Source organism: Homo sapiens, chromosome 9, assembly GCF_000001405.40.
Source record: "Homo sapiens chromosome 9, GRCh38.p14 Primary Assembly".
NCBI lineage: Eukaryota > Metazoa > Chordata > Mammalia > Primates > Hominidae > Homo > Homo sapiens.
Genome location: NC_000009.12, coordinates 76,155,686 through 76,168,227, shown reverse-complemented (window position 1 = coordinate 76,168,227; position 12,542 = coordinate 76,155,686). Strand labels below are relative to the sequence as shown.

General features: G+C 41.5%; 1 protein-coding gene across 9 annotated transcripts in view; it reads right to left on the bottom strand.

Annotated features, from left to right (window-relative positions):
• PCSK5 (proprotein convertase subtilisin/kexin type 5) overlaps window positions 1-12,542 on the bottom strand; it is a 473,167-nt gene that overhangs the window by 194,748 nt on the left and 265,877 nt on the right. For all 9 annotated transcript variants that reach the window (NR_120409.2, XM_047423454.1, NM_001372043.1 and 6 more), the window contains 2 exons: window positions 11,066-11,183; window positions 9,057-9,245 (listed from right to left, as the gene is read on the bottom strand). Coding sequence is in view for 8 of the 9 variants with exons in the window: in XM_047423454.1 (XP_047279410.1) it covers window positions 9,057-9,245; window positions 11,066-11,183 (307 nt within the window). In the remaining variant the exon portion in view is untranslated. The remainder of the gene's footprint in view (window positions 1-9,056; window positions 9,246-11,065; window positions 11,184-12,542) is intronic.

Below are 12,542 nucleotides of genomic sequence, written 5' to 3'. Positions count from 1 at the left end.
GTGAGCCTAGATCATGCCACTGCACTCCAGCCTGGATGACAGAGGGAGACTCTGTCTCAAATAAATAAACACATCACTTATGCAGGTATATAGCATAGACTTGACTACCCAAATAAATATCCCAAAGATACAGAAGACATTTTCTGTAAAGATGAAACCTACATAGTGGAAAGTGAAAGACGGGGCAAGTCCTTTTTGTATAGAACTTTAAAAAATGATGTTCATCTATTATTTCACTGAAAAAAATAAAAAAAGAGTAAAATATTGCAAGTGAGCGAGGCAAACAGAGAGGAAAAATATCTCTAAAATTTTCTTAGGGGCAATCATGTCCAGTTACTGGGATATTTCTCTCCTTCAATGGGGACAAATGGTAACAAACGTTATGGTAACTAAAGTTTGATGGCTATTCAGAACACACAAATCAACTCTCTTTGCTTTAATCTCATGTTTACCAGACAAACTGGTGGTTATAATTTGACCTTCTCTGTACCTCTTCCCATTGAGAGAAAATGTGCCCTTCTAAACATAAAAGTAACTAGTTCAGTCTTCTTATAACAATATATTAGAACTCTGATTTTTTAAAAACGTATTTTATCAGTGTGTCTGAGGCTCTTTCTAAAATGCCAGCAGGATTCTAAAGCTAAAGGGTTCAGAAACACAATTTTGGATTGTGATAGGTAAATGGCTAACACTTTGCAATATTCCCTAGAGAAAAGCAATAAACAGGAAAATCACCTGCTATATGTTCCTGAACCCTTGAAAGACAGAAAAATGAAAATTATTAGGCAGCATTCTCAGGTCTCCCATGGTCAAAAAATTTGGGAAAGGCTGAATCAAACACAGATGAGTAGAACTCTTTAATAGAGGACATCTCAGATCTTCAGAATATGCAAATGTGTTTTATCAATTTCCATAATGGGGTTAACTGGGAGGCAGTGATTTTCAAAGTTTACCTGGACATGAAGCCTATTCTCTCTCTCTTTTTAGAACATCTGTATATGATCTATAAAGGTTCCCTCTCGAAATAGAGGAGCGTGGCACTTCAATGAGGAACCAGGTTGGATCTGGCAACTTTGGCTCACAGTGACAAGGATGAAGATGGTAGCTTTTTACATGAATATTTTCCCACTGGAATGGGTCCTCAATAGAGAAAGGATGGTGCACTTTATGGAGATTCTACAATCCACTGAACAACCACAATCAGCTCATTTCACAAGTTTATGGCTTAAGACTAGACTTGGACAAGAAGAAATGGCTGTGTCATTATATACTTAACTTACATCCATTGAATCCCTCACTAAAAACCCACAACATGTGTATGTTGGGCAAGAAGACAACAGAGAAGGGGAAGAGGAGCTTTTTCAAACTGCCCTTTCTAACAGAGAGATGTTGTTAAAGGGAATATGTTGATATAGAAATGGCTAGAGGCAGAAAAGCAGTTTAGAACCACTTCCTTCCTTAAGTCCCACAGCTCCAGCTTAAGCTCTAATTCGTTGAGGCCATGGTGCCATTTGAGGGCACTGAAGCAATAACTTGTCACATAATACCTCTCCAAGAGTGCCGAACTTAAAAGCAGTTCCCAAACAGTTTAGACAGAACACTTGGCTCATTGCCTCACATCCAAAAACTACAAAGGAGACTTGAAGCTGCCATCACATGAGGGGCAGTCTTGTTTCCACAACCTCAGCCAACTTTTAATCACTCATGGGTCAATGATTTGACTGCTGGATTAGCAGACCCTACGTTTCTTCCCTTCCACCCTTTCCTGTCCACCTTTGAAAGTCATTTCATTGCTACCAATCACTTTCAAATCACATCGGGCACAAAAATTAAATATAAACTGACTGCCAAGAAGAAATATCCACAAATCAGAATTCAAGTAAGTGTTTCAAAGCCCAAACATAAATGAGCTCTGTCTATGTGGCTAAGCAGTTTTCCACCCCCTGGTCTCTTCACATTATTCAGAGTTGGAATGTTCATTAATTTCATGTGAATATAAGAGTTGAGGAGAGGAATGAAAATGCAGCCAAACACAACCATCACATTTTGCTGAAAGAGTTGATGGGGAAAAAAAAACAGGCACCAATGGTTGTTGTATCACCTAACTGGGCTTTACATTGCTAGTTTCATTCCGTCCTTTATAAGTACACATTGTTGTGTGTTTTAACTTGGATTCAATACTTCAGCTACTTCTTATTTTCTACCATTGTAACATTAAAGGAAACTGCATCTCTGCATAAAACAAAAGGTAATATAGCTTGTAGGTTTGCTTTGCATTGCAAAGAACATACTTGCTTAAGACAATCAAGTGTCGAACCATGGACACCTGCTACGGAGATTCCAATTGTGGGATCTTCTTTTATCAACTAAAAAGCTTAATGCCCAGCGTGAACATCCACGCTGTGCCAACAGTGAAGAGATCAGACACATGCCAACATTATTAGTGTGGGTAAAATGTCAATAAAGCAGAGCCAGTGTGCTGAAAGCCTAAGTACATTAACTCCATGCCTTTATCCACTTCTCTTGCAGTGAAATTCTGTCCTGTCAAAGTTGACTTCATAATCACGTGCTCGATGAAATGATATATGCATGCGATGGCACAAATTATGCATCCAGTTATTGAAATGGTGCCCCACAGCCCTATCCCTGCAAGTGGTTTCCAAATAAATTACTTTGGATGAAGCCTGGTAGAAAAGATGACCATCAAGTGTAGTATATCCTTTTGAGGAATTAACTCAGGAAATAACTTACATAATTACTGTAAGCTTTATTTCCCTTCCTCTTAAAGAGTCTAGTGAATGTATCAAGGCCACAGCATTCTTCTGTGATGTTATGGCAACTAAATAACAAGATGTTTTATAAATACTGACAGCTATGTGTTATCATATAATTATTTCTAAAATTGTAAATGGATCTTAATTTCAGAATCATCCACTACTATTCAAATGGTATTTATGTCCACTACAGAACTAGACATCAGGCTAATATTCCTGGAAATTTTCTCTTTTCTCTCTTCTATTTTTTATTTTTTTAAAGTGATTCATTACAATTTAAGGTAGAGCTTGAAGAACTCATTTGGCTCCACTGTAGTTGAGTTTTTGGTTTTCTTTAGATGTTTGGTTTTTGTAAGTTTTAAATAATTTCTTCTGATACAGGGTATTTAAAACATACTATTTGCTTTTTCTCTCTTTCCTAATCTCAATTACTTCTTTAAGAAAGATTGAGAAGGAGAAAGGAACTGGTTCTAGAGGTCTGTAATACCTAAAATGATAAGTTTTTTTTTTTTTGGTAAAAAACCTTCCAATATGCAAGCTATTATCAATTCATTCACCAACCCCAAAATGCATTCCTTCTTGTGGGTACATAAGTACTTAATCTTCCTCAAGATTTAATTCATTTTAGAGTAGATGGCTTTTATTGAAATATCTGTTTTATATTATAAGCCCCTTTGTAATTTCCTTGCACAGCATCCAGCAGCATACTGCTCCCAAGTCTTTTGATGACACAAAAGTAATAAGAATGTGTATGAAAAAGCTGGATGATCTTTTAAATCCTTGCTATTTAAAGTGTGGTCTGTGGACAGGCAGCTTCAGGATCACCTGGGAGCTTATTAGAAATGCACATCCTTGGACCTCACCGCAGACTGATAGAATTAGACTTTTTGGGAGAGGGACCCAGCCAACTGCATTTGATAGAGTCATGTACCAGGTGCTTGGAGAAGCACTGTGTAAATAAGAGTTACCACTTATTAAGTGCTTACTATGCTAGGCACTGTGCTAAGTATGTAACTGTACGTGATCTTAATACGTGTACCAACCAACCCTGTGAGGTATATACTATTACATCTATTTTATAAATGAGGAAATTAGGCTTTCTAAATTGAAACACAGATATCAGTGAAGTCAAGAAAAACCCAGCTCTGTCTAACTCCAAAGGCTGTACCTTCTTTTGAATGAAGGAAGAAGGTTCACGTGGTTGGGTGTTACTGGAATGTAAAACATTCACTGCAAAAGTGTAATTTTTACTGCAACCCACAGATGCATTTATATACCATGATGCCTTACAAATGTCAATAGTCTGTCATTGAACATTTGGGTAGGGAAGTGACAGAAATGACTGAAGCATAAACACTACATTTAAAATATATTTAATTATAGGACTCCATAGGTTTTGCAGATTAGAAAGTATACCTTCTCTCCATTTAAGGCCATAATTAGAAGCAGAGATATTCATCTGTAATTAAATTTAGAAAGGGAGGCAAAGTTTCACCTTTCAATCGAGGCCAAAATTTGGAACAGAGGGCCAGTACATCTAAGCTAAATCTAAAACTCAATAAGGGAGATTCAGGAAAAAAAAAAAAAAAAAAAAGACAGCTTTTTATAATTCTAACAGATGCAGCTGAAGAAAGAATCTGCTGGGATAAGCTTTTGTTTGAAAAATTTTGACACAGGCAGACTTTGAATGTGTCATAGTATATAGGCTTATATCTAAAGTTGCTCTCATCTAAAAACATTTTCAAAGGACCCAAGCCCACCTGGCTTCTCCCTACACACTCGACCTCCATGCTCTTTATGGAAGTAAATCACTTGCTGTGAATATTCAATTTGCCTTTTTGTTAGGCAGGGTATACAGGCCAAGGGGAGAACCAAGAGGGTGGGAGGGCAGGGGAAGAGCAAAGGAAAGTCCATTCTAGGACTTCTCCATTGACCCACGGCACACACCCACTGAATGATCCACGGGGCTTGCCAGGGGAGCATGCACGCCGGGCTAATGGGGCACAGAGCTCAAGCTGGACTGGAGTTCTGAATGCTGCTGAGTGCCTTCCAGCGCTTAGCACCTGCAGATGCTTGGGGAAACTGTTCCTCCTCCAACAGCTGTTCTTCACAGGAGTTCAGGCAAGTGCCCGTCAGCCAGGACAGGGAGCCACTGAGGGGCTCCAGACGGCCCACACAGACTACATCAACGTGTTCAGCACTTCTCAGAAAACAGACTTTCAAGGAATTCCTGTGGTGAGGAGATAAACAATTCTGAAGAAATTCCTCACTGAAATGTCTAAGTAAATGAGGACTTCTGGAAAGCCAACCATAAATAGTGACCATAGTTTCAGGTCCCCAGATAGGACGTATATTTTGTCAATACTGAAAAGGAGAGCACTGTCCTCTGGACTCTCCCCCTCTGCTTCATCCTCATTGTCTGGTCTCTGGTTTTTTCATTGCAAAGGAGAGGTGATGCCAAGTGAGCCTCCAGATTCTGGTTCCTTCTCCCAGGAGCCAACACGCAGCCTGCTGTGAGTAAGCCATGGAGCAGAGGAGCTGCTTCAAAGGCCTTGGGGAGTTTTCCACGTTGGCTGCCAGGCTAGTTAAGTGTGCAGTGTTGGAAATTCTAATTCGGGATGAAAAGAATCACCCCTACCCCCAGAGGGGTAGGACAGATAAAATGAGGAAAAGTCTGCCACAAGAAGCCAACATCTGCATCTCAAACCACCTCTGCTAGGGAAACATTGTTTTAAACTTTTCAGAATTCTTATTTAAGAAAAAAATCTTTGTTCTTTGCTTTACATGGTCCTCCTGAGAAATCTTGACTTCTCTGAAAAAAAGACAAGGGTCTGGCAGGGGAAATATTTATTGCTCTTACCAATCATCTCTGGCAAATTCCTTCTAAAACCTGACCTCTTCATTTTTTTTCCCCACCACAGAGACGGACTGCCTTGCATACCAACATGAAGGACACCAGGACCAAAGCAGGCCTTTGCTTCACCTCCTCTCCACCCCTTTCTGTGCCCTTGTTCCCAGCTCTCCATTCTGGGAATGTGCTTTGAAATGGGGCCAAGGTGAGAGGGCATGAGGCCTCCTTGCCACTAGGTCAGAGACTGAGAGGTTTTGAGGAGAAGTTTCCTCTAATGAAATGAAAGCTTCAGAATACTCCAGATGGATAGAGTGCCAAAAGAAACTGTCTTTCTTTAGCTGCCTCGGTAGGAGGGACGCTACCAGTGTCAAGCACAGCAGGAACGGGGGAGCCAGGCCTTGGAAGGTGGCCATTCATGGTTTTGGGACTGGGTGCAGCTGTTTCACATGGAAAGGGTCAGCTGCTCAGAGCAATAATTCTGCAGAGCTTGTAGACAAATGAATTCACAATATCCTTTACATCTCTTGGGGTCTCCAGCCCCCTCCAATCTCCAGGCTCTCTACCTCCCTTCAGTGGCTACTTATTTTCAGGACTGAGATGGAGGATAAACGAGAGCCACACTTGAAGAAACTGCTCCAGACCAAGAAGACACATTCTGGGAGCAAACTTTATTCCCAGGTGGTCTTGATGAGGGAGACTGAGGTGCGCTATAGGAGTGCCGGTCACCGCACGTCGGAAATGCCTGTTTCTTTTCTCCGACACAAGTCACGCAGCACTCTTGTGTTCAGCACTTTGCAAAGAGCAAAGCAGATGTTGGCTGTTGAAGAATGCATGCGAGCCTGAAGCCAGCAACACTGCAATCCACCAAATGCCTGTGATGGAATCCATAGCTCCTCTGCTCACAAGTTTCCTCACTGACGTCATTTCAGGGGAAGCCAAAAATAAATAGCGGAATATGCAGGAAGAGCCCAGACAGGCTGAAGAGGTTGAGTTTTTCAAGCAAACAGCAACAGCGGAGGGACTGTTTCTCTACAAGGAAGGGGGCTCGGGGGAACACGATCCACACATGTGAAGCAAACCTTTGCACTTCACAGTATTTCACCAGGATACATTTTCAAGTTAAACCCAGATGAATAATGGTAAAGAAAAAAAAAAAAAGCAAGAAATAAAGGCCTTCCCTAGCTTCGGTAACCACAGCTGGAGAGACTTTCATTAATCACGTAATTGTGTATCTGAAGTTTTGCTTGCTGGAAAGAAACCTCAGGCAGGTACCTGCAATTACCCTGCAGGCGGCCTGCTGAGGGCTCTTTGTCTGCAGTGGGAGGAGGACATGAGGAAGTGCCCAGCGATCCTATGCTGAGGAATCCTTATGTTCCTTGCACCTGCATACACTTATTGTGGCAAAGCTGCACATCACATTTAAAGTACTAAACCCAGGTTTCCCATACACTAATGGAAGACGTCAGATTTGAAAGAACACAGCAAGTCTAAGCACAGAAATAAAATGCACATGAAGATTTCAGATTCCGGGCTGCACGCAGTGGCTCATGCCTGTAATCCCAGCACTTTGGGAGGCCAAGGCAAGAGGATCACTTGAGGTTGGGAGTTCAAGACCAGCCTGGCCAACATGGTGAAACCCCGTCTCTACTAAAAATACAAAAATTAGCTGGCTGTGGTGGCGTGTGCCTGTAATCCCAACTACTGGAGAGGCTCAGGCAGGAGAATTGCTTGAACCCAGGAGGTGGAGGATGCAGTGAGCCGAGATTGTGCCAACACTGCACTCCAGCCTGGGCAACAGAGCAAGACTCCATCTCAAAAAAGAAAAAAAAAAAAGATATCAGATTCTGTACTCCTAGTTGCTATAAGCCAGAAAAGTTATTGTTCTCTCCTTTTCTCACTGTCCTATAGTAGATGAAGTTAGGGATTTTTAAAAGCAACTGGCAAGTTCGGTCTCACTGTTGGCCGTGCAGACTTTCATGGGCCTCTTGCCTCTCAACACCTCTGGCCTGTTGTTAGTGTTCTAACAAAGATCACCTCTGCCATGGTCACCTGGTGTGTGGACAAGTGGCTATGTCTATATAAAAGGTTGACTTTCATTTGAACTATATATGCCACTGATAAGAAAGTTTTTGCTCCCATTAAATGTTCTTCTGAGAGAAAAAAAAATCAAAGAAGCTTTAGGCTTTGGGCTGTGGTTTGTCATTTAGAACCACCATGAGAACGAGGATCACAAGAAAAGCTGACATCTCCCCTCTCCGGTCCCACTTGCTAACAACTTTCTCCCATGCTCCCAACCACTCAAAAAGCCAAGGGAGCAAAAGAAAATGAGTGATAGAACATTCTGGCCACATTGTCTCAGCAGGATCTTGGCCTGTACAAAATACAGTTACTTATATGCTGGGGAAGTGTTTTGGAGGAAGCAGGGAGGAGAGGCTAACAAGCGAAACTGAATACCCTCTAGGGCAATAAAGACTGAAGAGTCAGCTGGGCGCGGTGGCTCATGCCTGTAATCCCAGCACTTTGGGAGGCCGAGGCGGATGGATCACGAGGTCAGGAGATCGAGACCATCCTGGTCAACGTGGTGAAACCCCGTCTCTACTGAAATACAAAAAACTAGCCAGGCATGGTGGGGCACGGCTGTACTCACAGCTACTCAGGAGGCTGAGGTAGGGGAATCGCTTGAACCTGGGAGGCGATGACTGCAGTGAGCCGAGATCACACCACCGCACTCCAGCCTGGAGACAGAGTGAGACTCCGTCTCTCAAAAAAAAAAAAAAAAAAAAAAAGGACTGAAGAGGCAACCTTAAAAACAGGGGTGAGCAAACCATAATCCTCAGGCCAAATCTAGCCTGCGCCTCTCAGTAAGTGAAGTTTGATTTGGCACACAGGCACCCGTATTCATTTATATTGTCTAGGTGGCTTCTGTACTCGAATGGCAGAGTTGAGTAGTTGGGATAAAGACCTGGCTTACACAGCTCAACACATTTATTGTCTGGCTCTGTGCAGAAAAAATCTGTTAACACCTGCTTTAAAAAATTAGAATTTCCTTTAAGTTTTGAAAGTAAGTGCTTGGGCAAGAGAATTCGGTTAATCTGTAACGAATGACAACAGATACTTAATGGTGGGGGAGGGGATATCAGAGGCCTTACGAGTTAGTGCTCTGCAATTCTTTTGTAGGATCAAGAACAAGTGGCCTTCAATTTTTCTACTGCATCCTTTTCTTAGCCAACTATTAAATGCCCCACTTTTCCACATCTACAGATTATAGGCAGCTTCACACTCTCTACTTATGAGCAGTGAGATCCTGACATCTAAGCACCCCCTCTGCTGGTTCCCAGGTTAGGTGAAAGCAGCAGCTGTTCCCTTCTACCTAAGGAATAGCCGAGTGTCGCTGTGACTACTACACTGGTGGGCAGAGACCACTGCTGTACCTGTTGGCCAAAAGCTGAGACCTAGTTCCAGAGGGCGAGGTCAGGTAGATGGCCAGGTCTCCTCTCCTGGGGTGGGTGATGGTGATGCGCACAACGACGTGCTCCAGGTAGTTGACATGGCGGTTGGGGTTATCCGAGCAGCCTGAAGCTTTGTAGATGGAGCGCACTGCACTGTTAGGGCGGATTGTCCTGTAACAGAGAGAGATGGAGAGTTTGAGCAAATGACATCACAGAGCTCAGGTGAGTGAACCTGGAGGCATGGAATAAATACACAATGTAAGATAAGCAGCTGATAGCTGGATACTAAACAACAGTGCTATCACCAAAATAACTGGGTCACTGAAAGGATTACCAGTTAGTGGGAAAGATGCAAGGGAGAGGTGAAAAAGGAACAAGGTTCTTTCATCTTCATGAAGGTAATAGATCTCAAACTGAGTATGCATTGATGTCAGCTTGTTAAAACACAGATTGCTGGCCCCAGAGTGTATGATTGAGTAGGTCTGGGATGGATCTCAAGAATTTGCATTTCTAACAAGTTCCCAGGTGATAGTGACGTAGCTGATCTATGGAATACACTGTGAGAACCACTTACTGTGGTACAGTGGAGGCTTGGGGATTAGCATAAAGGGGGTTCACATCCCTTGCTCTGTAACCCACCAGCACATTCTTCCCTCTTGTCTATAGGTTCTCATCTTCCTCTCTAGCTTCCTCCTGTGCCACAGTTCCCCTTGAACACTAGGCTGCAGCCACAATGGCATCAGGTTCAACCTCTGGGATAATTCAAGTTTCCCACCTTGGGGACTTTGCACACACTACTCTGCCTGAAGTACTTTTGTTGTTGTTGCTGATGTCCCTACGGCTAACGCTTCTTCCTTCAAGGTCAAAGCTTAAATTTCCCCTCCCTGAGACCTTCATCGAGCCACAGGTGAAAATATGTCCCCTATCTCTTATTTTTCACATTTTTTAAATTTCCAACATTTGTTTATTAGAATTTGTAATTATATACTTATTATTTTTTTTGGTGTGATACCTCCATTAGACTGTAACCTCCACAAGGGTAGGAAGTATTACTTATTCTCCTTTTTATTCCTAATGTTTTGCTCAGTGCTTGATATTCAGTAAGTGCGAGAAAAATAGTTACTTAGTGAATGAGTTTGTGAATGAATAAATAGATAATTCCTTTGATTCCATTTCCACATTTTTCAAATGAGAATAATACCCAAGTTGTTACACAGCTTCAAGAGGAAAACATACATGAAGTGTCTAGCCCTTGGCATGGCCCATAGTAAGTGCTCAATAAACACTGGTTAACTTTCCACCCTTTTGTTTTTTCTCTCTCATTCTTTGCCACAAGAGTAGAATGAAAATAAACTCAAACAACTTTAGTTGATTTACTTCTGCTTCCAAACAAATTTTCTCAAGAATGACAATGTCTCTAGTTTCATCATCAACCAAAGTTCAAAAATATTTTTCAGAGAGAAAAGTCTCTGAACAGAAAGCCAAGAGCAAAACACTAATAAGCCTACTAAGATAGAATCCTGTTGGCAAACCCTGTCAGCACAGCTTCCAAGTTTGTGCCACTAAAACTGGGGAATAGGCCCTGAAAGCTGTGAGTAAACTGCAATCTCTTTTACCGTACATTTTGTACCACTCTTTGGATAACTACGCAGTATAGAGTTGTTACAGTTTTTAAAAGTACACTGACTTCTGGAGAATACTTGCACCATCAAATAGAAATATCGACAGTAGAAAACTTTCAAGAGCCCAGGGGTAAGCATATCCCCCAATCCCTTTTTTAAAGATGCTTTTCTTTGAAGGATTCTTGGGCTATACTAGTACGAATTTAACCGCTCAGAATCCTAGCCGTTCTATTACCATTTCATAGTCACATTAGAGAGAAACTACAGAAGCTTTTAGCTTCTGTGTGCAACAAGAGGCTGTCTTGAGCAATTGACTGGCTTGCTCTATTTTGGGGCATTGTCATGCTGTTTGCCGGCAGCAAGCATTACTTGATTTGTCGGTCTGTGCTCTCCACACACACGTGCTGCCGGGGAACGGTGGTCCACTTCTCTGCCTCCATCACCATGGCTTCTGCGTCCATCAGTCCAAATCCATAAAGATGGCTCACTGTGGAAAGCGAGAGACTGGTCAGCTTCACTAAGCTACATAGGTCAAATTATAACGTCACTCAGTAGAGACCCCAGACACCACCCTATGGGATCCTAGCTATCTTTCCAGCAATGATTTGAGAAATAAATCCAGCAAAACAAATACATAGTCATGTCAAGAAAATAAGACATATGTACAGTTTTCATTGACTATCTATCACTACCAGTAATATGCCTATCATTTATGAATTGTTACTCCATGCCAGGCACTAGTCTACAGTTTTACATTTAGTTCTCCCAACAATCTTCAGATGTTAGTGCCATTATTATATCATCATTCATTAATGAGAAAGCTGAAGAACAGAAAAACTTGGCCAAGATTGACTAGCAAGTCACTGGTCGAACTAGATTTTAATGCACGTAGTTTTTCTCCAGGGCCCCACTGTTTAATCACTTGCATTTAAGTGATGACATCACTGCTTTCATAAGATAAAATAATTAATAGGTTTAAAGAGAAGTAACAATGTATATGACTTCTCATAGTGCAAGAAGAACTTACATACAAGAGATGCTAACGTTCTGACATATCTAGTAATTAGGTTGACTACCTTAGAAGACATAAATTATTACCTTTCTTCTAGCATATACAAAATTTATTAAACTTTATCCAGGAAATATTTGGAGGCCTCTAGACTTTTATGCCAGCTTCAGGTCTTTGAATCTTTTGGTTCTCAGTTAGCAAACCTATTGATCTAAAGCTGAATTTGACATAACTGTCTCAGAAACTTCAATTAGATATAGGAATACTTGACTGATACAGTAATATATACATGTGCAGATCTTTCTAAAAATACTTTAAAATTCCAGTTGGCACTTAAAATCTCCACTTCTTATTGAACTGTCTCTTATAACTTTACATTCAACACTATGTCATATTTCCAGTTTTTGTCTAAAACATTTTTTATTATCATCACATGAATGACTTTATGCAAACATTTATGTAGCTGCCCATACTTATGGATTACTTAAATACATCAGCTTGATTGTCGCGATGTGCTCAGATGTAGTTCCATTCTACTTGCAAAACAACCTCATCACCAAACCTTTGCTTTAGGAAGGCCCCTCTTAGAGACCCCAGTCAGAGGCTGCTCTTTCTGCCCCACTGCCTTTGTCCAGGCTGAGAACTTGGCCTGACAACCCCTCTTTCTTTCTCTCTGCAGAGTTAAGCCCTACTCTTATAAGTTCCTGAAGGCCTGGCTAGTCTATCTTTTCCTTCTTGAAGTACTCTCTGACCAATGAAATAGTCAAAAGACATTTACTGAAATTTGACTATCTGTGACCAGTGAACTTTTCTCCTTTCTACTCTGGTAACTAATTA